A 25,357-nucleotide genomic window follows, 5' to 3' on the forward strand; every position below is an offset into this window, starting at 1 on the left:
CCCCAGCCCCTCCCGCAGCCCTCCTCCCTCCCGCTCCCTTCCCGCCGCCTCCTCCCCGCCCTCCTCCCTCCTCGCTCGCGGGCCGGGCCCGGCATGGTGCGGCGTCGCCGCCGATGGCGCTGAGGCGGAGCATGGGGCGGCCGGGGCTCCCGCCGCTGCCGCTGCCGCCGCCACCGCGGCTCGGGCTGCTGCTGGCGGCTCTGGCTTCTCTGCTGCTCCCGGAGTCCGCCGCCGCAGGTAGGGGCTGGCACGGGAGGCGGCGGGAAGCGGGGGGCTGCGGAGGGGCGCGGCCGGGGGTCGGAGCCCGGGGCGGGCCTGGCGGGCTGGAGTCGGGGTGGGGGTCCGGAGCCGAAGGCCGAGGCTCGGAGCCGGGACAGGGCACGCTGCGGAGTGCTCGCCGCCAGATCTCCGGCCGGGCCCCCACCCCCAACTTTCTGGCGCTCGGGGCTCTTCTGGCGGGGTGGAAGAGAAGGGAGCGGGGTGTGGGCTGTGTGGTCAGCGGGGAGTGTTTGGGACTGCATTTTCCCGCCTCGATGTTCCCAGCTGTTAGCTCCCTCCTTCCCAGTACTGGGGACCCCATTCTGCCTGCCCCGCACGCGAAGGTCCGCCTCGGAAACCACACGGGCCGGGGCTGGGCACCCAAAGGCCACCCTGATACCATTTAGGTACACAGGGGCTGTGAGGGTGCCCAGTCACAAAAAACAAATGGGCACACTCGAGTTCCTGTGCCCTCAGAGCTTCCTGAAAGCAGAACCTTGGAGAGGATGGGCTGGTGCCAGGTTGCTGGTCTTTGGGAGGGGTTAGTCTTGTGTTCCCACATAGCCACTGAGGCATTTGCTGGTGACAAGAGCGTTCCATGCAGCACGGTGCTCTCCAAGTTCCCACCCCGCACCTCGGGGACTGATGGGCATATAGGGAGCGGGAGGCTGGCCCCCATCCTGTGACTGGTCCTGAGAGGGTGAAGGGAGCAGGGAAGAGCCACAGGCCAGGACAGCGGCCACCCGCTGGCATCTTCTCTTGAGACAGCATTCCTTGCCATATCAGCCTCTCAGGGAAGGGAAGGGAAACGGGGTGACGAGTATTTACAAGCCGAAAGGTGCGGACCTGATGCTCAGGGAGCCCACGACTTTGCCTAGAGTCACACAGCAAAGGGTGAGAAGAAGCAGGGCTGGATTTCAGTTATGTGGATACTTGACCTGCCCCTCTCTCTGCTTAAAAACATGCCAGGAGGCCAGGAGAGGTGCGTGTATGTGTGTGTGTGTGTGTGTGTGTGTGTGTGTGTGTGCGCGCGCGCGCGCGCGCTCGCACGCAAGTTCCAAAGAGTGGCCCCTGTTAATGTGGCAGTGGCTCAGGGGTCTTAGGCTCCCTGCTCAGGGCCCCAGCCCTCCCTTCTGCCTCCCACCTTCCTAGCACTCGCCCCTGCCCACATTCAGGTATTAATAGAGTGGATGGCTGCCAGGAAGGCTGCCATGTGTTTGATCTGACGTGGTTTTGCAGCCATATGTTCTCCACTTCAGGGGAGCACCCCCTCCTTTCCTTCTTCAGCCCTGCTCCATTTGGTAAGGTTGGGTGCAGAGGGTGCTGGCAGCAATTCAGGGTCTGGGCTGACACCTTGGGTGGAGAGCTGGCAGCCTGTTGCACTAGTTGGGTGCAGCAGTCATTCCTAGAGCAGTGCCTGCCCCAGTAGGGTAACTCCCATCGTTTCAGCCCAGCCTGCCTTCCTTTTGCTGTCTGGGCTCAGAAGGAGGACATGGGGAAGAGGTCCTTAGAGCCGGAGGGAACTTGGAGAGCTTGCCATGCCCCTTCCCTTCGCCCAGGTCCAGCGACCTTCCCTTCCACACTGTCCTACCTCTGCTTCCTTGACTTTGGCTGAGAAAGAGCCCTCTGTCTGACACAGAAGCTACCTTCTAGAAGAGAATGGGAACTGTTTACAGAGACAGAGTCCCTCTCAAGGCTGACACATGTTCCTTCCCACCCCTCAGGTCTGAAGCTCATGGGAGCCCCGGTGAAGCTGACAGTGTCTCAGGGGCAGCCGGTGAAGCTCAACTGCAGTGTGGAGGGGATGGAGGAGCCTGACATCCAGTGGGTGAAGGATGGGGCTGTGGTCCAGAACTTGGACCAGTTGTACATCCCAGTCAGCGAGCAGCACTGGATCGGCTTCCTCAGGTGCAGGCCTGTGGGGGAAGGTGTGGGCTGCCAGCCAGGGGGCAGGCTATGCTCTTTCCTTGGGGATTGGGAGCTGGGGCCCTCTCCTGATGCCCAGAGGTCTGTGGTTTTTTTATTTGGCTACCTGTGGGACCTTCCAGAAGTGGGGGCAGGCTGAACTCATCAAGTTTGCCCAGCAGAGCTGCCGCCCTTGCCCTCGGAAGCAAGCCTCGTATCCTGTTTCCACAGCCTGAAGTCAGTGGAGCGCTCTGACGCCGGCCGGTACTGGTGCCAGGTGGAGGATGGGGGTGAAACCGAGATCTCCCAGCCAGTGTGGCTCACGGTAGAAGGTGAGGAGGCAGAGCCATATGGGCGTGTTGGCCTGGAGCACGTGCTGTCTGCTGGTGACTATACCTCTGCAGCGGAGAACTCAGTAGAAGCTGGGCTGCCCCACTGCTCTGTGGGGCCTGGTTGTCCAGGCTGTAGGCCCACTCCAGATGTCGGAAGACCCTACCAGTTGGAGTTGGGTATCTGAGAACCAAGGGACCAACTGGGATCCACAACCTGTGGGGTGCAGTCTGTTTCCGTTGCTTGAGCAACAAGCTTCAAGCATCCATCTGGGACTGGACCCTGTTCTGCCAAGTGGCCTGGCCAGCAGGGGGAGGGGAGGAAGGCTCTGCAGCTGCGGGAGCTCAGAGCTGTTCAGCCCAGGAAAACAAAGTGACTAAGAAAGTAACAAAGGGCCCTGAATGGGAGCTGGGGCCTGGCAGCAGAACTCTGCTAAAGCTCTCACCCACTCCCCTGAGTTTTATGCCCCTCTCCCAGCTCTCCACCCCCAGTCTCCTCTCTTACTGCAAGAAGAGCTGTCCAAATCTGCCATGCCTAAGGGGGCAGCATGGAAGATGTGTCTAAGGTGCCAGGCATGGTGGCGTGTGCCTGTAGTCCCAGCTACTCCGGAGGCTAAGGCCAGAGGATCACTTGAGCCCCCAGGAGTTCCAGGCCAGCCTGGGCAACATAGAGAGACCTCCCCGCGACCAATCTCAAAAAAAAAAAAAAAAAAAAAAAATTCCTAAGGAGCCTGAAAAAGAGAAGCACCGCCTACCTCTCAAGCTAGATGCCTGTTCTGCTGTTGACCTAATCATAAGGGGCCTGTGGGAACCTTCTGCGTGGAGGACTTCAGATGTAAACAGACTTGTGATTTGTACAGTAGGAAGCCAAGAGGTGGCAGGGCTCACTCCTCACTCCCCTTCTCTCCTAGGTGTGCCATTTTTCACAGTGGAGCCAAAAGATCTGGCAGTGCCACCCAATGCCCCTTTCCAACTGTCTTGTGAGGCTGTGGGTCCCCCTGAACCTGTTACCATTGTCTGGTGGAGAGGAACTACGAAGATCGGGGGACCCGCTCCCTCTCCATCTGTTTTAAATGTAACAGGTGAGCAGCCTCAGAAGGGGGCTGGGAGTGGAGAAGGAGCTGGGTCCTGGAGGGCACTGAAGCTGGCAGTTTCAGCCACTGAGCTTGCGGTTGTGAGCGTCCAGAGCAAGCCCCAGTGTCTGGGGACGTGAGCTGCACCATTACTAAGCTCATTAGTCAGGTGTGCTAGGCTGGCTGGGTGGGCTGATTAGTGGTGATCCTGCTGTGTGTGCTTAAGGAGGGTGTGGGGCCACCTTTGGTTCACAGCAGTCCAGGCCATGCACAGCTGGCCCTCAGAGATGAATTGTATGAGACCAGGGGCACCCATCCCCCACCCCTCCCAAGGAAAGGAGCCAGAAACCAGCCCACGCAGAACTAGGGAGGAGTATCTGGCAGACACTGAGAAGACAAGACTCTCAGGCTGCAGAGAGGGGAGAGGAGGGAGAGAGAAGGGGTAGGGGGAGGTTAGCACAAAGATACAGGGCCTCCTCCCCTAATGGCGCTTTCCGGGAAACCTCCACACGTTTTCTCAAACAACTGTGTCTGTCCATACCTCTGCACAGTCACACCTGCACACCCACCTGGGCCCCAAGTTTCTTGGGCACATACCCTCACATGCTTGTAAGGCTTGCTTATTTGTGAAACAAAGGCTTGCTTATTTGTTTCTGGTTGAGGCTTGAATTGGGCAAAAAAGATGGGAGTCTGAGCTTGGTCTCATGTGCTGGAAGGTGCCAGGGAAATGGGCGCTGAGCTAGGTTCTCCAGCAATTTGAATCTTGACAAGAGGTGGACTATGAGACCTCTTGGAAGCAAGTGCAGGTCCTGTTCAGGAGGCGCTGAGTTGGAGCAGATTAGAGAGGAGGTTGGGTTCACTTCCTTCCAGGTGTGCGTGGTTGGGACCCTCAGGCAGGCAGCCTGATAATAAGCACTCACTGAACTCCTACTCCACACCACACTGTGCTAGGCACCACAGGGGACAGAGGGAATACAAAGGAAATAGAAGCTAAAGAACTGAGTATAACTGGGGAGACAAGACATGTGCATAAAGAGCTGAGAACTACTGCAAGGCAGAGAGTCTGCAAATAACAACCCCAAGGGGGCACAGAGCAAACAGAAGGGCTCACTCTGGTATGCGCAATAAAAGAGTGACCAGAAAAGGGGGGCAATTTGTGCTGTGTGTGGGAGATGGGATGGAGGTGGGAGGGTGGTATAACGTTTCTCAAGGGCTTATTTAGCATGCCGTGCACTTGACACACATTACCTGATTCTCACAATTCTCCCATTTGAGAGATGAGAAAACAGAGCCCTCTCCAGGCTCACCAGACTCTAGTGTCCCTGTTCATTTCACCGTACCTCACTGCCCAGCCCCTTCCTTTGGCAGGAGGGATTTAAGGATGTTCAGACCAGAGCCTGAGTATTCCCCTTTCCCAGTCCCGCACTGAGTGGGGTTGCTGCTTGGGGAGCTGACTGAGGTTTTCTGGCCCCAGGGGTGACCCAGAGCACCATGTTTTCCTGTGAAGCTCACAACCTAAAAGGCCTGGCCTCTTCTCGCACAGCCACTGTTCACCTTCAAGGTAGGAGGGCTGGCAGGGAGGAAGGGTGGATGAGGCCAGGGGCATTCCCAGCGAGCTGTCCAGCAGTTAGAATCATTCTGTGTTCCAGCTCCCCTTGTGGTCCTGCTGGGATCTAGGGAGCAAGGGGTTAATTGGCATAGCTCCCATTCCTAGTGGGAGCACCTGAGACCCTGCGTGGCTGAGATGAGAATAGAATCCTGACGTCACAGCAGATTTCCCATCACGAAGCAGAGTCCTTGGGAGGGAGGGAAGGAGGGAGGGAGGCAGCAGGAGATGGTCAAGGCCCATGCCCAGCCTTGTTTCTGCCCCTCCCTTTGAGGGGATGGGGGTGGGGAAAACAGCCTAGTACCGGATGGAGGAGACCAGAGGGCTGGTGTACAGAGAGAGGGGGAGGGAGAGGGTGTCTGCAGGAGCCAGGCTGTGGCTGCAGGGGCAGCTGCCTGTCTCTCCCTTGTATCTCCCAAGCCTGAGGTGCTGCCCCCACATACCCTCTCATCTTATTCCTCAGTTACACAGGGCCTTCGTGGCAGGGAGAGGCAACCTCTCTCCACAGCCCAGGCACTCTCCCAGGTGTGAGCAGCTGTGCCCTACTGGTTGCTTATTTGTGTACTACTGTGATCCTGGGAGTGCTGAGTAGCCGTCTTTAGGTTGGGGATGCCCTGGACCCTCAGAGAGACTCAAGGCTTGACTCCCATGCCTCCTGCTGCCTCTGCTCATATCCCTACTGGGCACTGATTCTGAGTCCCCGTCCACAGCACTGCCTGCAGCCCCCTTCAACATCACCGTGACAAAGCTTTCCAGCAGCAACGCTAGTGTGGCCTGGATGCCAGGTGCTGATGGCCGAGCTCTGCTACAGTCCTGTACAGTTCAGGTAGGCTCTCCGGGCCGGGCCATGCTCGTTCTGGCTGCATGGCCAGCACTTTGTTGACAGGGATATCACACTCACTAGCCAGCTCCTGGGGGCTTGGTCTGCAGCTCTTTTCAGGCTCTGCTCCTTAGCAGGAAGAACACAGGCCACTGTCTCTTATCATGGGGTGCTCTGGCAACTAAGTGACTTTGCAGATTGGCTCAAACTCATGCATTCATAAGGTTGGAAAGCAGATCACTAGAACAGATTTGGGGTACCTGGAAGGTTTTTCTTTCTTTCTTTTTTTTTTTGAGACAGGGTCTCACTGTTGGCCAGGCTGGAGTGCAGTGGTGCCATCTCGGCTCACTGCAACCTCCACCTCCTGGGTTCAAGTGATTCTCCTGCCTCAGCCTCCCCAGCAGCTAGGATTAGGATTACAGTCATGCACCACCACGCCCAGCTAACTTTTTTTTTTTTTTTTTGTATTTTTAGTAGAGACTAGTAGTTCACCATATTAGCCAGCCTGATCTCAAACTCCTGACTTCAAGTGATCTACCTGCCTCAGCCTCCCAAAGTGCTGGTATTACAGGCATGAACCAGCACACCCAGACGAGTTTTTCTTACTTAGGTGAAAGCTCAAACCTTTGCTGATACTCACCCTATCATGCTCCACCTTACCCCCCAACCCCCACTCAAGCCAAAGAGAACAAGATGACCAGAAGGGGCCCTAAGCCTTGGAGAGTGGAAAAACTGTGTAAGGTGATACTAAAAACAAGAGGCAATGCAGGCTTGCTCATTTTCATCCGTTTACTCAAAGGCCATTTAATGAGTACCTTTCAAAACTGTTCTGGGCAGTTCCCCTGGGCAGGAGGGGCCCCTGCTCTGGGCTCCACCATTTAGAGAACCCTACTGAGGTTGGGCACAGTGGCTTATGCCTGTAATCCCAGCACTTTGGGAGGTGGAGACGGGAGGATTGCTTGAGCCTGGGGGTTCAAGACCAGCCTGGGCAACATGGCAAAACCCTTTCTCTACAAAAAATACAAAAATTATCCAGGCACAGTGGCATGCGCCTGTACTTCTAACTATTCAGGAGGCTAGAGTGGGAGGATGACTTGAGCCTGAGAAGTCAAGCCTGCGGTGAGCCGAGATCATGCCACTGCACTCCAGCCTGAGTGAGTGACAGGGCAAGATCCTGTCTCTATTAAAAAAAAAAAAAAAAAAAAAAAAAAAAAGAGGATCCTACTCTGGCCCTCCTTTGGCCACACCCCTTTCCCCGGGGCAAAGAGCCTACAGGGCCAAGAGGATATGCCCATCCAGATGGCAAGGACCCCCTCACTGCCACACTATACTATAGCTATTCAGGATCTCTTGCCCTAATGGTTCTGAGTCTGCTTCTGGGGTCTGTGTGGGCCTTTTCCCTGTTCCATCTTCCCAAGGATGGACCGCAGTGTGATATGACCACCTCTAAGCCCAAGGGGCAGCCATTCGTGAGGGGGATGGGAATGGAGCTTGGATATGCAGTCAGCATTGTCCACGCCTGTGCACATGAGGCCCCTCATGGTGCAGACCTTGGCTTCAGGCCAGCTCTTCCAGTGCCTCCTCATTCTGACTCGGGACTCCAGGGATTTGGAGAGTTACAAATGCAAACCTGATCTCCCAGGTTGTTTTGAAGGTTTATTGGTCAAAATATTAAGAGAGAAACTATTTAATAGTTTGTTAGCTGATTTATAATGTTTAAATATTTAGACATATAGTACGTGGATCTCTTTGTACTCTTGCCCTGGGCCCCCAAAATGTAAGATGAAGGGCTGGTTCATAGTGCCCTAGGCTCCCAGTTTTCTCTGAGCTTCAGAAGCTCTAGAACTTTGGAGTGGCATGTAAACAGGCACAGTAAGTGGTAAGTATACCCTAAGAGTTTCGTACCAAGTACAAAAGGACAAGAGTTTTCTGGAGTGGTTGAGAAAGGCTTTCACCAAGAAAGTGATATTTGCACTGAGTCTTAAAGGATGAGTAGGCCTTTGCTAGGAAGAGCAGGTCATTCCAAGTGAAAGGAACAGCATTTGCAAAGGTATGAAGATGTGGAACCCTGTGTATTATTGGGGTGGGGGCAGATGGGAGGGCGTGGGTTGCAAGTGTTTGCTGATAGAGGAAGCATTCATTCAAGCACCCATAACTATACCCATCCCATCTTCCATCTCTCACAGGCTCTCCCCTACATCATTAGTTTTCTGCTTTTCTGTAGGTGACACAGGCCCCAGGAGGCTGGGAAGTCCTGGCTGTTGTGGTCCCTGTGCCCCCCTTTACCTGCCTGCTCCGGGACCTGGTGCCTGCCACCAACTACAGCCTCAGGGTGCGCTGTGCCAATGCCTTGGGGCCCTCTCCCTATGCTGACTGGGTGCCCTTTCAGACCAAGGGTCTAGGTAAGGGATGCATAGAGCAGAGCGGGTGGGCAGGGCTGGAGCCGGGAAGGGGGCCGTGTTGGCTGGAGTTCTGAATGGTGCTGGTAGAGATGGAGGTTCAGGCATCATTCGGCAAACATTTACTGCATATAACTACATACCACCTTGTAAGTAGTTCTTGTAGGTGGAACAGATAAGCAAACTGGAAAAGATCAGATAATGTGGTTGATAAAGAGTGTCCCCAGGTGGTTAAGGAAACCCCCCCTAAAAAGGTCTGAAGGATAAAGATCTGAAGGATCTGGGATCTGAACGATAAAGAAGAAGCCATGTAAATATCTGGGGGAAAATCACTGCCGGAAGAAGGCACAGCAAGTGCAAAGACCCTATGACAGGAACTTGCTTGGCAATTGCAAAGAGGCTGGCATAGCTGTGAGAGGGGAGTGGTAAGGGGTGAGGCAGAAAGGCAGTAACCATGGTGATGAAGAGCAACACTGCCGAGCTGGGGTGCTGCCTGTCCTGCCCATTGCTTACCCCTCCCCCAGCACAGTGGGTGAGAGCAGTCAGAGCTGGGAGGTGAACCCTTCCCCAGTTTGTGCCTCTCAGAGCTGTTTAGTTCTTGGGAGTTGATTCCAAAGGTCTGCATGGAATTATGATGGTGGGAAGGGCAGGGGTCTTAGCAATCTTCTCTCTTTGGCTGCAGCCCCAGCCAGCGCTCCCCAAAACCTCCATGCCATCCGCACAGATTCAGGCCTCATCTTGGAGTGGGAAGAAGTGATCCCCGAGGCCCCTTTGGAAGGCCCCCTGGGACCCTACAAACTGTCCTGGGTTCAAGACAATGGAACCCAGGTAAGACAGAACCCTCCCCTCTCTCCACTCTCCTGGAGTATAAGCCTTCAGGGTTCTAAGGCCTTTAAGAATTTCAAAATGATTGTCTTTGGTGGGCCTGGGTCTCCCGCAGCCCCAGGGAATCCTTTCCTCCTCACCCTCCTCTGCAAGCTCCACTTCTCAAAGGATTATGTCTCCTGTTAGGGTTGCATCCTGTGTGCACTTTGTAAATAAAGCAGGAAGCACATTCCTGCTTGAGCTGGGGGAGGGCACAGATAAGGCTTTGTCCCCAGCTCAGTTCGCTCCCATCCCCCACCTGTGCATTCCGGGACTGAGCCTTGTTTGTGTTCTGGAGAGGCCCCTGCAGCCGGGAACAGGAATGTGATTACTCCCAGAAGGTTGTGTTCCTGCAGCCCCTGAACCCACAGTGCCCCTATACTCCCATGTTCCCAGCTGGACCTTTTTCTGTCCTCAGGCCCCAGCTGGAGGCCTTCTCCCCAGGCTCACTATGGGGTGGGGGCTTTTCCTGGCTGCAGGATGAGCTGACAGTGGAGGGGACCAGGGCCAATTTGACAGGCTGGGATCCCCAAAAGGACCTGATCGTACGTGTGTGCGTCTCCAATGCAGTTGGCTGTGGACCCTGGAGTCAGCCACTGGTGGTCTCTTCTCATGACCGTGCAGGTGAGGCTTGTAGGTGGAGAGGGGCAGAGGCTCAGGGGATCAAGGTTTTCAAGGGCAACCTAGACTGATGGGAGGAGCCTAGTAGCATCTCCCCTCCTAGTAGACCCACAGACAGAGTGAAGAAGTTGAGGCCAGGGCTGTTTAAACTATCTTGGCTGGGCATGGTGGCTCATGCCTGTAATCCCAACATTTTGGGAGGTTGAGGGATCGCTTGAGGCCGGCAGTTTGAGACCAGCTCTGGCAACATAGCAAGACTCTGTCTCTACAAAAAAATTAAAAAAAAAAAAAAAAAACAATTAGCCTGGTGTAGTGACATATGCCTGTTAAGCCCAGCTGCTCCAGAGGCTGAGGCAGGAGGATTGCTTGAGCCCAGGTGTTTGAGGCTGCAGTGAGCTATGATTGCACCACTGCACTCCAGCCTGGGCAACAGAGTGAGTCTGTTGTCTCTAAAGAAACAAACAAATAAGGCCAGGAGTGGTGGTTCACACCTATAATCCCACAACTTTGGGAGGCTGAGGTGGAAGGATTGCTTGAGTCTAGGAGTTTGAGACCACCTTGGGCAGCAAAGTGAGACTTTACCAAAAAAATTTAAAAATTAGTCAGGTGTGATGTTGCACACCTGTAGTCCCAGCTACTTGGGAGGCTGAAGTGGAAGGATTGCTTGAGCCCAGGAGGTTGAGGCTGCAGTGAGCTGCAACTGTGCCCCTGCACTCTGGCCTGGGCAACAGAACAAGACTGTGTCTCAAACAAACTATATCTCATTCTCCTCTCTCTGCCCCAGAACTGGCATAGAAATCCATGGTCACCCTCTAGGTCACAACAGCCAGGGCCTGTCTCTGACCAGGTAGGAAGGACTCTTAGGCATTCCTCTGGAGCCCCTTTCCCTCAGGACCCTTATTGACCTAGAGGAGCCCCTTGAACCAGCTGGATGGCCATCCTGGGAAAGTTCTGAAGGGACCTCATGGTGTCATCCTAGCTCATGCCACTGCACCTCCCTCCCACAGGCCAGCAGGGCCCTCCTCACAGCCGCACATCCTGGGTACCTGTGGTCCTTGGTGTGCTAACGGCCCTGGTGACGGCTGCTGCCCTGGCCCTCATCCTGCTTCGAAAGAGACGGAAAGAGACGCGGTTTGGGTAAGGGGATGGGGATGTGGAGGGAGAGGCAGGTAATGATGAAAGACCTTGGAGCTGACCCCAAATCCTGGGTTTTCCTTTAGGCAAGCCTTTGACAGTGTCATGGCCCGGGGAGAGCCAGCCGTTCACTTCCGGGCAGCCCGGTCCTTCAATCGAGAAAGGCCCGAGCGCATCGAGGCCACATGTGAGTGGTGGGTGATCGTGGGAAGGACAAATGGGCTGTCTTGTGCCCCATCTGCATTCTTTTACCAAATTATTAATTTGACTGATATGTCTGAACATCAGTGAGCCCCAGGCACACAAATCTGCCTGTGTGGAGTTCACCACCCCAGCCGTGGGAGACCTAAGCTCATCTCTATGCTCTGAGGGCAGAGTCTGGGGTATAAGAGGCTGGGTTTTGGCTCAGGAATCAGAGATCCCTCTTTCCCACAAACCCTTTCCCCACAGTGGACAGCTTGGGCATCAGCGATGAACTAAAGGAAAAACTGGAGGATGTGCTCATCCCAGAGCAGCAGTTCACCCTGGGCCGGATGTTGGGCAAAGGTATGTGAGGCTGTGTGGGGATGGGCATGGCTGGTTTGCTGTAGCTGGAAGTGTTTGGTTGCCCCTGTCACTTTGAGGCTGTGGGTTTGGGTCGGTTGCCGTAAACAAGATATGCTTGTAGACTCCTGAGTGTGGGATGTTTGTGGGGAATGGTGGCTGGAGACAGGGAGGGCTGAGGAGCTGCTCCCAGCATGCTCTTGCTTTGGCTACTGGCAAGGGTGCCTTCTCCACTGGCCCCAGAGTCTGCTGACTGTGTTCCCATGGAGGGTCACTTGGGAGGAAGGTTGGCAGGGAGCAGAGAGCCAAGGAGACTCTCCCTTACTTGGATTGGTTCCTAGGAGAGTTTGGTTCAGTGCGGGAGGCCCAGCTGAAGCAAGAGGATGGCTCCTTTGTGAAAGTGGCTGTGAAGATGCTGAAAGGTGAGTGGGGGATAGCTGTAGCCTGAGGGCATCACTTGGAAGGGTAAGAGGGGCGACTGACCCTGAAGCAGGCTCTGCTTTGCCCCTAGATTTTCCAAGAAGAGCTGGGCAGCACTAACTGGGATGCTCTTTACCACACGAATAATTCACAAGCATAAACCCAAACATACATATTCATGCCCAGCCATTGCTCTCTGCCATCGGCAGTGACTGTCCTCTGAGTCCCCTCTTGGGTGATTACAGCTGTGGTTGGTTGACCTGCTGGGCTGCCCAAACCAAAGGGAAGGGAAGGCATTAGCAAGTGGAGAAGTTGCTAAGTATCACCACTCCTTGGGGGTTTCTCCTGCTCATGGCTGGGCTGTTTCCTGGGCTCCCTGGGAAGCCTAGGACATCTGAAGGACAAGACCTAGGAGGCCTGGGTCAAAACTAGGGGCACATCTTGTTTTATTTCCTCCTTCCCCATCCCCTTCTCCTAGCTGACATCATTGCCTCAAGCGACATTGAAGAGTTCCTCAGGGAAGCAGCTTGCATGAAGGAGTTTGACCATCCACACGTGGCCAAACTTGTTGGTGAGCCCATTTTTGGGGGAGGCAGATAGAGAATAGGGCTAAAAATATGCTCTACCAATATGAGATGGCAGCCTATAGGAGAGACTTTTGGACTCATCTGGTAAATAAATAGATGGCAAAATAGCAAGGAGGGTCCTGGCAGAAATCTGAGGTGAGGAGTGCCAAAGGTCTGCACATGAAGACTGTGTGGCTGGATGTGGTGGCTCATGCCTATAACCTCAGCACTTTGGGAGGCTGAGGTGGGAGAATTGCTTGAGGCCAGGGGTTTGAGACTAGCCTGGGCAGTATAGCAACAGCCCACCTCTATTTAAAAAAAAAAAACAAAACAAAAAACATACACACACACACACGTATACAAAAATTAGCTAGGTGTGGTGGTGTGCACCTTTGTCCAGCTACCCGGGAGGCTGAGGTGGGAGGATCATTTGAGCCCAGAACATTGAGGCTGCAGTGAGCTGTGATTGCGCCACTGCACTCCAGCCTAGATGACAGAGCAAGATACTGTTTCAGAAAAAACAAAGACTGCTTGTGTGGACAGAGAAGGAAAGGAAGGGGACAGAAGATGCTCCAGGGATATGGGAGCAGCCAGAGTCCCTCCTGGGTAGTCCCCAGACCAGTGTGGAGCCTGTGAAAAAATAAAAAATAAATAGCAGAGCCAGAGCTAGAGATGGGACCCAGCAGGTGGGGACTTATGCAGACACCTGAACTGCCCCTTGACCCTTCTATGCTCAGCTCCTGACTCTCCCTTGTCCCAGGGGTAAGCCTCCGGAGCAGGGCTAAAGGCCGTCTCCCCATCCCCATGGTCATCTTGCCCTTCATGAAGCATGGGGACCTGCATGCCTTCCTGCTCGCCTCCCGGATTGGGGAGAACCCCTTTGTGAGTACCTGGTGTGGGGGTGGCCAGGAGGAAACGGGTGGGAACACAGGGCCTGGAAAGGCATAGAGACCCTGGCAGAGAGGGGCTTGCTGGGTAGGGCTGATGGAGCTGGGTGGGAGTAGGAGGGGTCTGAGTTTGAATCCTTTTAATCTAGCAGGCTTTCTTTTCTCTCACAAAACCCTGCTGAGAAATATAGGCTGGGCAAGGGCCCTTTCTAGAGGGAGGGACTTGTGGAGCCCCAGGGTGGGGGAGTCTCGTCTTCCAGGCTCCCTCTTAGGCTAGCCGAAGCTTCCTTGCCTTGGGAAGGCCCTCCATCCCCTTCCTTCCTTCCAGTGATTCTGGGGACAGCCTTCAGGCTTTCTGGCCAGGGACCCCCATCCATCCTGCCCCAGCTGGGTGGGCAGGTTAAGCCTGAGCTTGGCCTGTCTGTCCACTAGAACCTACCCCTCCAGACCCTGATCCGGTTCATGGTGGACATTGCCTGCGGCATGGAGTACCTGAGCTCTCGGAACTTCATCCACCGAGACCTGGCTGCTCGGAATTGCATGTACGAATTCTGGAGGACTCGAGGGTGGGAGACAGCAGCAGGTGCCAAGAGGAGCTAGCTGATGGTCGGCTCCTGCCTGGGACAGTATCTGCTATGCATGGGGGTAGCTTGGGAGCAAAGATGCAAAGATGTCCTGGCTCTTGTGGGCCTGTGAGCATGGCAGAAGGCTGACTCTCTCCCTCAATGCCCCTTGTAGGCTGGCAGAGGACATGACAGTGTGTGTGGCTGACTTCGGACTCTCCCGGAAGATCTACAGTGGGGACTACTATCGTCAAGGCTGTGCCTCCAAACTGCCTGTCAAGTGGCTGGCCCTGGAGAGCCTGGCCGACAACCTGTATACTGTGCAGAGTGACGTGGTGAGCAGGGTGGCCCGTGAAGCTTGGTGGGGACGAGTGTGAGAGCAGACCTTTAGGATCCTTAAGGGCCTAGCCAAGTCTGCTCTCTGGGGTTTGGTTGCCCCCTGATGAGGCCCTGAGCCCCAGGTTGTGCTTGTCTCAGAGCCATGGCTCTCTGCCTGGCTCAGGACACCTAGTGACAGCTTCTCCCCCAACCTCGATTCTGTCCCAGTGGGCGTTCGGGGTGACCATGTGGGAGATCATGACACGTGGGCAGACGCCATATGCTGGCATCGAAAACGCTGAGATTTACAACTACCTCATTGGCGGGAACCGCCTGAAACAGCCTCCGGAGTGTATGGAGGACGTGTGAGTATCCTGGGAAGGGGGCTCTGGAAGGAAAGGGGAATCTGGAGTTTTGGCTGATGGCTGCCACCACAGTTGCCTCAACTGGACCTTTGTTTTTTGATAGAAACATCCTTGTAGTTGGAAGGCTGCACTCCACCTCATACTCACTGTTCATCTACCACCTCCCTGTTTTCTTTCTTTCCCCCTTTCCCATCCCAGATTTCTTGCTTTAGCCTTTGTCTATCAGTCTCTTTTCTCCAGTTTGTAAGGAGAACCAGGAACCCCAAGAGCAGAAGGCACAGTGCTGAGTAACAGTGTGGGAGGTTTCCCTGCCATCTTCCCACCCGTCATTCCTTTTCTTTTTTTAATTTGTATTTATTTTATTTTATTTGTTCTACCCTAGTGAATACAACCTTTGTCCTGGAGACCCCAGCTAGTCTAAGAAAACTTCCTAGGCTGAGCTCTCTTGGGAATCTAAGATAAAGAACTGAGATCCTGGGAAGAAGGGAACTGCCTCCTCTTCTTTCTGCAAGCCCAAAGCCCTCGGGACTGGGCAGGCAATGATACCACCCACTTTGCTACAGTGATAACAGACCCTGTGACAAGATAATGGGAAGTGTCACTGACATTAGCTGGGCATTTAGGCATTCTTTCAGGTAATCTTCCTCTGACCTTATGAGGAAAAGACTATTATTTATCCCCACTTTGTAGATGAGAAAATAGGATTAGAGAGATTAAGTAACATGGCCAACGTCACAGAGCTAGTAAGTGAATAAGTTGGAATTTGAACCTAGATCCCTGTAGTTTTAGAATATATACTCTTAACTCTTTATGACAACAACTGTGATTTGTCTGTTCTAGTCTTACACTCCCACTCCATCCAAGCCAAGGGCTCCCTAGGCCTTCAGACAACCTTTTGTGAGTATTTTTTGTTTTGTTTTTTGAGACAGGGTCTCGCTTTGTCACCCAGGCTGGAGTGCAGTGGCGTGATCTCTGCTTACTGCAGCCTCAACCTCCTGGGCTCAAGTGATCCTCCCTCCCCAGCCTTCCAAGTAGCTGGGACTACAGGCACGTGCCACCACACTCGGCTAATTTTTGTATTTTTGTAGAGACAGGGCTCCGCCATATTTGTCAAGCTGGTCTTGCGCTCCTGGGCTCAAGGGATCCATCTGCCTTGGCCTCCCAAAATGCTGGGATTACAGGTGTGAGCCACCACGCCCAGCCCAGAGGACCTTTCATGAGCCCCAGGGGGAGTGGGAGCCACTGTGACCAGAGAAAGAATCTGCTCCATTTCTTGCTCTGGGATTGGACTTCCAGAGGGCCGAGGTCATGGACAGGCACAGGAAGGCTCAGCCTGATGGTGGGGTCCTTCCCTTGGACAGTGGGTTTGAAGTGCCCTGAGCCTGGGCTGTGGGTAACTCACCTACACCTGAGAGGGAAATCTTGAGTAGACAAGCCAGGCCCTGGCCCTCCTGTTCATTCAGCAGAGCTCAGGGCATGGCAAGGGGCAGGAAGCTCACATCTCCCTGTGGCTGCAGCCTGCTTCAGTTCTAATCTGGCGCTGTAGAAGCTCTGAAGGGCAGTGGGGACCAGACCCCAGCGCAGCCTCCTCCCCAGCTGGAGCTGGTGCTGTCAATGGAGAGTGGGCAGGCACTGGCCTCACCCAGGCAGCCTGGTGGACAGGCGCCAGTTGGCTCCTAGCACAGCCTTGAGGACGTGTCCCAGTCTGGCCATGTACCCACGGCCCCAGACCATTCCCATTCCCACGACCTGTTCAGTGTCTGGCATGATTACTGCCATTACTGGTGGCCCCTGCTGGGGGTGTGCTGGTGTGTGAGGCAGTGCTTGGGGCTCTTGTCATGGGCATAGGCAAGAGAGTCAGGCATTTGCATTCATTGGACTTGGTCTCAGCGTCTTTCCATTAGGTTTTTGGTTTGTTATTTTTCCACCTGAGCCTGAGGCATTCCTTGGGCATCCTGAGTGATAGGCTTCAGGGAATTTATAAGGTTCCTGAAATTGTATGTAAAAAAGCATTCCTGGCAGGGGACGGTGGCTCACGCCCGTAATCCCAGCGCTTTGGGAGGCGGATCTCCTGAGGTCGGGAGTTCCAGACCAGCCTGACCAACATAGAGAAACCCCGCCTCTATTAAAAATACAAAATTAGCTGGGCGTGGTGGCGCATGCCTGTAATGCCAGCTACTTGGGAAGCTGAGGCAGGAGAATCACTTGAACCCGGGAGGCAGAGGTTCTGGTGACCCGAGATCACACCATTGCACTCCAGCCTGGGCAACAAGAGCAAAACTCCATCTCAAAAAAAAAAAAAAAAAAAAATTAATTCCTGTTGGCAGGAGAGCTGGAAGCTTTTTCCAGATACTCAAAAGTTATATATGAATAGTGAGGACTTTTTCTTTTTTTTGAAATGGAGTTTTGCTCTTGTCGCCCAGGCTGGAGTGCAATGGCACAATCTTGGCTCACCACAACTTCCACCTCCTGGATTCAAGCGATTCTCGTGCCTCAGTCTCCTGAGTAGCTGGGATTACAGGCATGCACCACCCTGCCCAGCTAATTTTGTATTTTTAGTAGAGACGGGGTTTCTCCATGTTGATCAGGCTGGTCTCAAACTCCCGACCTCAGGTGATCTGCCCACCTTGGCCTCCCAAAGGGCTGGGATGACAGGTGTGTGCCACCTTGCCCAACCAATTTTTGTATTTTTTAGTAGACACGGGGTTTCATCATGTTGGCCAGGCTGGACTCGAACTCCTGACCTCAAGTGATCCACCTGCTTCGGCCTCCCAAAGTGCTGGGATTACAGGCATGAGCTACTGCACCTGGCCTGATTCAGTAGGTTTCCTTTTTTTTTTTTTTTTTTTTTTTTAAAAAAAAAAAAGAGAAAGGGCCTCGCTCTGACAGCCAGGCTGGAGTGCAGTAATGCAATCACAGCTCACTGTAGCATCAAACCCCTGGGTTCAAGAGATCTTCTGCCCAGCCTCCCTAGTAGCTGGGATTACAGGTACTTACCACCATACCTTGCTTATTAATTTTTTTTTTTAATAGAGACATGGTCTCGCTATGTTGTCCAGACTAGTCTCGAACTCCTGGGGTCAAAGGATCTTTTAGCCTCAGCCTCCTGAGTAGCTGGGACTACAGGTGCATACCACTGTGTCCGGCTGCACGGTGAGGAATTACTGAGTAGGTACTGCCCACTCAGCACAGGAGGGACTTCGGAGTCAACCCCCTCGCTTCAAATCACAGCTCTGTCACTTTCCACGTGTGTGACTTTAGTCACGGTTCTTAACCTCTTTGTGCATGTTTCCACATTTGTAAATGTGGAAATGATTTCTATTTGATCATTGCTTTCATAGGGTTGTTGTGAGAAATAATAAGCTAGGATGTGCCTGTAATCCCAGCTACTCAGGAAGCTGTGGTGGGAGGATCACTAGAGGCCAGGAGTTTGAGACCAGCCTGAGCAACATAGCAAGACCCTGTCTCTACAAATATATTTTTTATTTATTTAATTTAATTAATTTATTTGTTTGTTTATTTATTTTGAGATGGAATTTCACTCTTGTTGCCCAGGCTGGAGTTCAATTGTGCAATCTCGGCTCACCGCAACCTCCACCTCCTGGGTTCAAGCGATTCTCCTGCCTCAGCCTCCCAAGTAGCTGGGATTACAGGAATGTGCCACCATGCTGGGCTAATTTTTTTTTGTATTTTTAGTAGAGATGGGGTTTCTCCATGTTGGTCAGGCTGGTCTCGAACTCCTGACCTCAGGTGATCTGCCTGCCTTGGCCTCCCAAGGTGATCCCACCTCAGCCTTCCGAGTAGCTGGGACTACAGGCGTGTCTACCAAGCCTGGCTAATTTTTGTATTATTATAGAGACAGGGTTTTGCCATATTGCCCAGGCTGGTCTCGAACTCCTGGGCTCAAATAATACCCCCCTTCGGCCTCCCAAAGTGTTGAGATTACAGATGCGAGCCGCTGTGCCCCACCAGGGAATAAAATTTTTTAAAACCCTAGTGCCATATGATGAAGGGGCCCCTGCTTTTGAGGGAAGGGCTCCTGCCTTTTCTCACGCTTCTCTCCACCCCAGGTATGATCTCATGTACCAGTGCTGGAGTGCTGACCCCAAGCAGCGCCCGAGCTTTACTTGTCTGCGAATGGAACTGGAGAACATCTTGGGCCAGCTGTCTGTGCTATCTGCCAGCCAGGACCCCTTATACATCAACATCGAGAGAGCTGAGGAGCCCACTGCGGGAGGCAGCCTGGAGCTACCTGGCAGGGATCAGCCCTACAGTGGGGCTGGGGATGGCAGTGGCATGGGGGCAGTGGGTGGCACTCCCAGTGACTGTCGGTACATACTCACCCCCGGAGGGCTGGCTGAGCAGCCAGGGCAGGCAGAGCACCAGCCAGAGAGTCCCCTCAATGAGACACAGAGGCTTTTGCTGCTGCAGCAAGGGCTACTGCCACACAGTAGCTGTTAGCCCACAGGCAGAGGGCATCGGGGCCATTTGGCCGGCTCTGGTGGCCACTGAGCTGGCTGACTAAGCCCCGTCTGACCCCAGCCCAGACAGCAAGGTGTGGAGGCTCCTGTGGTAGTCCTCCCAAGCTGTGCTGGGAAGCCCGGACTGACCAAATCACCCAATCCCAGTTCTTCCTGCAACCACTCTGTGGCCAGCCTGGCATCAGTTTAGGCCTTGGCTTGATGGAAGTGGGCCAGTCCTGGTTGTCTGAACCCAGGCAGCTGGCAGGAGTGGGGTGGTTATGTTTCCATGGTTACCATGGGTGTGGATGGCAGTGTGGGGAGGGCAGGTCCAGCTCTGTGGGCCCTACCCTCCTGCTGAGCTGCCCCTGCTGCTTAAGTGCATGCATTGAGCTGCCTCCAGCCTGGTGGCCCAGCTATTACCACACTTGGGGTTTAAATATCCAGGTGTGCCCCTCCAAGTCACAAAGAGATGTCCTTGTAATATTCCCTTTTAGGTGAGGGTTGGTAAGGGGTTGGTATCTCAGGTCTGAATCTTCACCATCTTTCTGATTCCGCACCCTGCCTACGCCAGGAGAAGTTGAGGGGAGCATGCTTCCCTGCAGCTGACCGGGTCACACAAAGGCATGCTGGAGTACCCAGCCTATCAGGTGCCCCTCTTCCAAAGGCAGCGTGCCGAGCCAGCAAGAGGAAGGGGTGCTGTGAGGCTTGCCCAGGAGCAAGTGAGGCCGGAGAGGAGTTCAGGAACCCTTCTCCATACCCACAATCTGAGCACGCTACCAAATCTCAAAATATCCTAAGACTAACAAAGGCAGCTGTGTCTGAGCCCAACCCTTCTAAACGGTGACCTTTAGTGCCAACTTCCCCTCTAACTGGACAGCCTCTTCTGTCCCAAGTCTCCAGAGAGAAATCAGGCCTGATGAGGGGGAATTCCTGGAACCTGGACCCCAGCCTTGGTGGGGGAGCCTCTGGAATGCATGGGGCGGGTCCTAGCTGTTAGGGACATTTCCAAGCTGTTAGTTGCTGTTTAAAATAGAAATAAAATTGAAGACTAAAGACCTAAGGTTTTGTCTCTTTTTTTTTTTCTTTTTTTTTGAGACAGTCTCACTGTGTTGCCCAGGCTGGAGTGCATGGTGTGATCTTGGTTCACTGCAACCTCTGCCTCCTGGGTTCAAGCGATTCTTGTGCCTCAGTCACCAGAGTAGCTGGGATTACAGGGGCTCACTACCATGCCCAGGTAATTTTTGTATTTTTAGTAGAGATGTGGTTTCGCCATGTTGGCCAGGGTGGTCTTGAACTCATGACCTCAAGTGATCTGCCTGCCTTGGCCTCCCAAAGTGCTGGGATTACAGTCCTGAGCCACCACACCTGGCCCCAGCTTTGTCTCTTAAATGTTTACTTTTTTTGAGATCACAAAGATGAAAGATTTTTATAGAGAGAAAAGTCTGGAAAGACATATGCCAAAATGTTAACAGCTGTTATCTTTTTTTTTTTTTTTTTGAGACCGAGTCTCACTCTGTCGCCCAGGCTGGAGTGCAATTGCGCGATCTGAGCTCACTGCAAGCTCTGCCTCCCAGGTTCACGCCATTCTCCTGCCTCAGCCTCCCGAGTAGCTGGGACTACAGGTGCCTGCCACCACGCCCGGCTAATTTTTTGTATTTTTAGTAGAGATAGGGTTTCACCGTATTAGCCAGGATGATCTCAATCTCCTGACCTCGTGATCCGCCTGCCTCAGCCTCCCAAAGTGTTGGGATTACAGGCGTGAGCCACCGCACCTGGCAACAGCTGTTACCTTTAAATGATGGGGTTAAGGGGACGTTCTTCTTTGTGCTTTCCAAGTTTTCTGCATTGAGCACAAAATGCTTTTGTAATTAGATACAGGATCCCAATGAATCTTATTATACTGAAGATAATACAGAGTCACCGTGGGCAGTTAGAAAAATGCAAAAAATCGGCTGGGCGCAGTGGCTCACGCCTGTAATCCCAGCACTTTGGGAGACCTGGGTGTGTGGATCACGAGGTCAGAAGTTCAAGACTAGTCTGACCAACATGGTGACACCCCGTCTTTACTAAAAATACAAAAATTAGCTGGGCATGGTGGCGCGTGTCTGTAATCCCAGCTACTCAGGACACTGAGGCAGGAGAATTGCTTGAACTCAGGAGGCGGAGGTTGCAGTGAGTCGAGATCCCGGCAGCCTAGGTGACAGGCGAGACTCCATCTCAAAAATAAAATAAAAATAAAAATGCAAAAAATAATAAAAGGTGCCAGTTACCTATACTCCCACCACCTAGAGATAATCACCATTGATCTTTTGAAAATGCAAATATTCAGCTGGGCACAGTGGCGTGTATTTTTTTTTTTTTTTGAGACGGAGTCTCGAGTCTCTCTCTGTCGCCCAGGCTAGAGTGCAGTGGTGTGATCTCGGCTCACTGTAACCTCTGTCTCCCAGGTTTAATCAAGTCTCTTGTCTTGGCTTCCCGAGTAGTTGGGACTACAGGCACGAGCCACTGTGTCCGGCTATTTTTTGTATTTTTTTGTAGAGACAGGGTTTCGCCATGTTGGCCAGGCTGGTCTCGAACTCCTGATTTCAAGTGATCTGCCTGCCTTAGCCTCCCAAAGTGCTGTGATAACAGGGGTGAGACACCATACCCAGCTTGTAATCCCAGCACTTTGGGAGGCTGAGGCGGGTGGATCACTTCAGGCCGGGAGTTCGAGACCAGCCTGGGCAACATGAAACCCCATCTCAACTAAAAATTCAAAAAAGTTTAGCCAGGCTTGGTGGCGCAGGTTTGTCATCTCAGCTACTGGGTGACTGAGGCATGAGAATCACTTAAACCTGGGAGGAGGAGGTTGCAGTAAGCTGAGATCTTGCCACTAAACTTCGGCCTGGGTGACAGATTAAGACTGTCTCAGAAACAAAACAAAACAACAAAAAAGCTTTTAGAGCAAGTTCATGGGAGATGCAGCAGGAGGCGCAGGAACCACACATGTGCTAGTGAGGAGTGTGGGGAGACTGGGAGGGCCCACAGGTATTGTGCTGCTTCTGGCTGAGGGCAGGGGAATAGGGTGGCTGCTTCTGAAAGCAAATATCCTGAAAAACCTGTTGCTGGTACTCCAAATTCTGGTTCCCATGTAGATCATGAAACCTGAAAAACTTCCAGGCAAGTAGCTTTCAGAATCTTTCCTGCTGTGATTAGCTTTCACTGCAGGTAGTGATTACCTGTGAGATAACATCTGGGAATTATTGATTGAAAAGACCTTCACTATCGGTTGGGGGCGGTGGCTGATGCCTGTAATCCCAGCACTTTGTGAGGCTGAGGCGGGTGGATCACCTGAGGTCAGGGGTTCAAGACCAGCCTGGCCAACATGGTGAAACCCCATCTCTACTAAAAAATACAAAAACTAGCCAGGAGTGGTGGCAGGCACCTGTAATCCCAGCTACTTGGGAGGCTAAGGCAGGAGAATCACTTGAACCCTGGAGGCGGAGGTTGCAGTGAACTGAGATGGCACCAGTGCACTCCAGCCTGGGTGACAGAGCGAGACTCCATCTCAAAAAAAAAAAAAAAAAAAAGAGGCCAGGCATGGTGGCTCACGCCTATAATCCCAGCGCTTTGGGATTTTCTGTCTCAAAAAAAAAAAGAGAGAGACTCTGGATCAAAAAGGATTTTCACAAACAGATCCAAAGAACCAGCATCCAGATTAAGAAACAGCATTAACAGCAACCCAGAAGCAACCCTTGGGACCTGCCTCAATCTCTGCCTCCTCCCTACTCCCCATAGGTAACCTCTATCCTGACCTCTTAACACCATGGATCAGTGAAGCTCCTTTTAAAAGTATATAAATGGAGTCATGTAGATTTGATTACTTTGCGTTTGGCTTCTTTCCCTCAGCAACATGTTTATAAGGATCATCTAACAACAGCAGTTTTGAAAAGTGAGTCTCAAAGAGGCAAGAATGGCCGGGCATGGTGGCTCACACCCGTAATCCCAGCGCTTTGGGAGGCCGAGGCGGGCGGATCACAAGGTCAGGAGTTTGAGACCAGCCTGGCTAACAGGGTGAAACCCTGTCTTTACTAAACCCTGTCTTTACTAAAAATACACAAAATTAGCCAGGTATGGTGGCAGGCACGTGTAATCCTAGCTACTCGGGAGGCTGAGGCAGGAGAATCACTTGAACCTGGGAGGGGGAGGTTGCAGTGAGCCACTACATTCCAGCTTGGGTGAGAGAGTGAGACTCCATCTCGGAAAAAAAAAAAATTAGCTGGGCGTGCTGGTGGGTGCCTGTAATCCCAGCTACTTGGGAGGCTGAGGTAGGAGAATTGCTTGAACCTGGGAGGTGGAAGTTGCTGTGAGACGAGATTGTGCCATGGCACTCCAGCCTGGACAAGAGTGAGACTCCATCTCAAAAAAGAAAATAATAATAATATAGTTTATTTTTCAGTATTTCATGTTGATTTATCTCAAATTTATTGTTGAATAAGAAGTGATACAGAGATTCAAAGTTATTTTTCCCAGATACTTTTTATTGTCCCAATACCACCATTTATTGAACAATCTATATTTTATGCACATTTCTTTTTTTTTTCTTTTTTTTGATACAGGGTCTTGCTCTGTTTCTGCCTGGGCTGGAGTAAAGTGATAGTAAACTGATTCTCCCACCTCAGCGTCCTGAATAGCTGGGACCACAGGCACACGCCACTGCACCTGGCAAATTTTTAAGTGTTTTTTTTTTTTTTTAATACAGAGCCTTGCTCTGTCGCCCAGGCTGGAGTGCAGTGGTGTGATCTCGGCTCACTGCAACCTCCGCCTCTCAGTTCAAGCGAGTCTCCTCCTGCCTCACACTCCCAATTAGCTGGGACTACAGGCACGTGCCACCACAACATGCTAATTTTTTGTATTTTTAGTAGAGACAGGGTTTCACCATGTTAGCCAGGATGGTCTCGATCTCCTGACCTCGTGATCTGCCCGCCTCAGCCTCCCAAAGTGCTGGGATTACAGGCTTCAGCCACCGCGCCCGGCCCAGTTTTTAAGTGTTGTAGAGATGGAGTCTTGCTTTGTTGCCCAGGCTGGTCTTGAACTCTGGGCTGAAGCGATCTGCCCACCTTGGCCTCTCAAAGTGCGGAGATTACAGGTGTGAGCCACCACACCCAGCCAGAATTTCTTGAATAATCTGTCTCCATTTCTCTATATAGCCTCATTGATCTATCTAAACTCCCATATCTATTTTGGTTGCTAGACTGTTCATCCCAATTACATGTGCCAGTGTCACTGCTACACTAATTGAATTACTATAAATGTATAATGTTTTCCTATATGTTCGTGGTACATTTTTTTTGCAACGTTCTCCCAAGGTCTGAGGAACACTATGTCAAGGCATGGCATGAAAGGAATACAGGTCTCCCAAGGCTTTAGAGAAGAATGATTTGTTCATGGTGTCACAAAGCAAGGGGTGAGGGGCACAATTGGGATGAAAACCCAGGGATCTACGTAATTCCTCCATCTTTCCACTGCCCCAGAGTGGGAAGGTAGGGGTAGCTGAGAGGTTTTGAGGACCAGAGGATAGCGGGGAGTAGTCTGGATAGACTTTTCTGTCTCTAAGTCCTGTTAACTCCACTCTCCTATTGCTTTTGCATGGGTCCCTCCCCAGCTATCAGCATCCTGAGGCCTCCTCTCTCACCCAGAGTATTGCAACAGCTGTGCAAACCTTCCTGACGAAGACCAGGTCAGCACTCCTTTGGTTATGAAGCCGCTGCCCCCAACACCTGTGGAATTTGTCTTCAGGGTTCTCCTTCCTGTTTTGTAATTATAATTATCTCGAGAGGCCGAGGTGGGTGGATCACTTGAGGTCAGGAGTTCAAAACCAGCCTGACCAACATGGTGAAACCCCATCTCAACTAAAAATACAAAATTAGTCGGACATGGTGTCATGCGCCTGTAATCCCAGCTACTCTGGAGGCTGAGACAGGAGAATCGCTTGAACCTGGGAGGCGGAGGTTGCAGGGAGCTGAGATTGTGCCACTGCACTCCAGCCTGGGTGACAGAGCAAGACTCTGTCTCACAAAAAAAAAAAAAAAAAAAAGGCCTGGCGCGGTGGCTCACGCCTGTAATCCCAGCACTTTGGGAGGCCGAGGCGGGCGGATCACGAGGTCAGGAGATTGAGACCATCCCGGCTAACACAGTGAAACCCCGTCTCTACTAAAAATACAAAAAATTAGCCGGGCGTGGT

The 25,357-nt window shown here is 52.7% G+C and overlaps 1 protein-coding gene across 3 annotated transcripts, besides 9 other annotated features; it reads left to right on the plus strand.

Moving 5' to 3' along the window:
- Positions 7-176: a silencer, noted in NCBI's record as "silent region_6365". NCBI's record gives its function as "represses an Ori minimal core promoter by ATAC-STARR-seq in GM12878 lymphoblastoid cells {active_cell/tissue: GM12878}" and the evidence as "EXISTENCE:reporter gene assay evidence [ECO:0000049][PMID:35858748]".
- TYRO3 (TYRO3 protein tyrosine kinase) lies at positions 68-24,445 on the plus strand. Of its 3 annotated transcripts, none has more exons than NM_006293.4 (19): positions 68-237; positions 1,983-2,166; positions 2,395-2,495; positions 3,404-3,574; positions 5,040-5,126; positions 5,882-5,997; positions 8,216-8,393; positions 9,073-9,218; positions 9,734-9,878; positions 10,883-11,012; positions 11,096-11,196; positions 11,460-11,555; positions 11,894-11,974; positions 12,451-12,543; positions 13,299-13,420; positions 13,858-13,967; positions 14,164-14,323; positions 14,535-14,671; positions 18,742-24,445. In NM_006293.4, the coding sequence occupies exons 1-19, from the start codon at positions 114-116 to the stop codon at positions 19,130-19,132; spliced, it is 2,673 nt and encodes an 890-aa protein (NP_006284.2). In that variant the 5' UTR covers positions 68-113; the 3' UTR covers positions 19,133-24,445. The 3 variants fall into 3 exon arrangements, with proteins under 3 accessions (NP_006284.2, XP_016878032.1, NP_001317193.1); XM_017022543.3 differs by lacking the exon at positions 18,742-24,445 and adding an exon at positions 15,054-17,121; NM_001330264.2 differs by lacking the exon at positions 68-237 and adding an exon at positions 828-1,152.
- Positions 483-683: a silencer, noted in NCBI's record as "fragment chr15:41851825-41852025 (GRCh37/hg19 assembly coordinates)". NCBI's record gives its function as "represses an EF-1alpha promoter that drives an FKBP-Casp9 reporter gene in an ReSE screen in phorbol 12-myristate 13-acetate-treated (for megakaryocytic differentiation) K562 erythroleukemia cells {active_cell/tissue: K562(+PMA)}" and the evidence as "EXISTENCE:reporter gene assay evidence [ECO:0000049][PMID:32094911]".
- Positions 483-1,196: a biological region, named in NCBI's record as "H3K4me1 hESC enhancer GRCh37_chr15:41851897-41852538".
- Positions 555-1,196: an enhancer, noted in NCBI's record as "H3K4me1 hESC enhancer chr15:41851897-41852538 (GRCh37/hg19 assembly coordinates)". NCBI's record gives its function as "activates a minimal SCP1, AML or CMV promoter by ChIP-STARR-seq in naive H9 embryonic stem cells {active_cell/tissue: H9 hESC(naive)}" and the evidence as "EXISTENCE:reporter gene assay evidence [ECO:0000049][PMID:30033119]".
- Positions 3,229-3,916: an enhancer, noted in NCBI's record as "H3K27ac-H3K4me1 hESC enhancer chr15:41854571-41855258 (GRCh37/hg19 assembly coordinates)". NCBI's record gives its function as "activates a minimal SCP1, AML or CMV promoter by ChIP-STARR-seq in naive H9 embryonic stem cells {active_cell/tissue: H9 hESC(naive)}" and the evidence as "EXISTENCE:reporter gene assay evidence [ECO:0000049][PMID:30033119]".
- Positions 5,293-5,979: an enhancer, noted in NCBI's record as "H3K27ac-H3K4me1 hESC enhancer chr15:41856635-41857321 (GRCh37/hg19 assembly coordinates)". NCBI's record gives its function as "activates a minimal SCP1, AML or CMV promoter by ChIP-STARR-seq in naive H9 embryonic stem cells {active_cell/tissue: H9 hESC(naive)}" and the evidence as "EXISTENCE:reporter gene assay evidence [ECO:0000049][PMID:30033119]".
- Positions 8,793-9,300: an enhancer, noted in NCBI's record as "NANOG-H3K27ac-H3K4me1 hESC enhancer chr15:41860135-41860642 (GRCh37/hg19 assembly coordinates)". NCBI's record gives its function as "activates a minimal SCP1, AML or CMV promoter by ChIP-STARR-seq in primed H9 embryonic stem cells {active_cell/tissue: H9 hESC(primed)}" and the evidence as "EXISTENCE:reporter gene assay evidence [ECO:0000049][PMID:30033119]".
- Positions 9,301-9,806: an enhancer, noted in NCBI's record as "NANOG-H3K27ac-H3K4me1 hESC enhancer chr15:41860643-41861148 (GRCh37/hg19 assembly coordinates)". NCBI's record gives its function as "activates a minimal SCP1, AML or CMV promoter by ChIP-STARR-seq in naive H9 embryonic stem cells {active_cell/tissue: H9 hESC(naive)}" and the evidence as "EXISTENCE:reporter gene assay evidence [ECO:0000049][PMID:30033119]".
- Positions 10,315-10,821: an enhancer, noted in NCBI's record as "NANOG-H3K27ac-H3K4me1 hESC enhancer chr15:41861657-41862163 (GRCh37/hg19 assembly coordinates)". NCBI's record gives its function as "activates a minimal SCP1, AML or CMV promoter by ChIP-STARR-seq in primed H9 embryonic stem cells {active_cell/tissue: H9 hESC(primed)}" and the evidence as "EXISTENCE:reporter gene assay evidence [ECO:0000049][PMID:30033119]".

This window comes from Homo sapiens, chromosome 15 (assembly GCF_000001405.40).
Source record: "Homo sapiens chromosome 15, GRCh38.p14 Primary Assembly".
Lineage (NCBI taxonomy): Eukaryota > Metazoa > Chordata > Mammalia > Primates > Hominidae > Homo > Homo sapiens.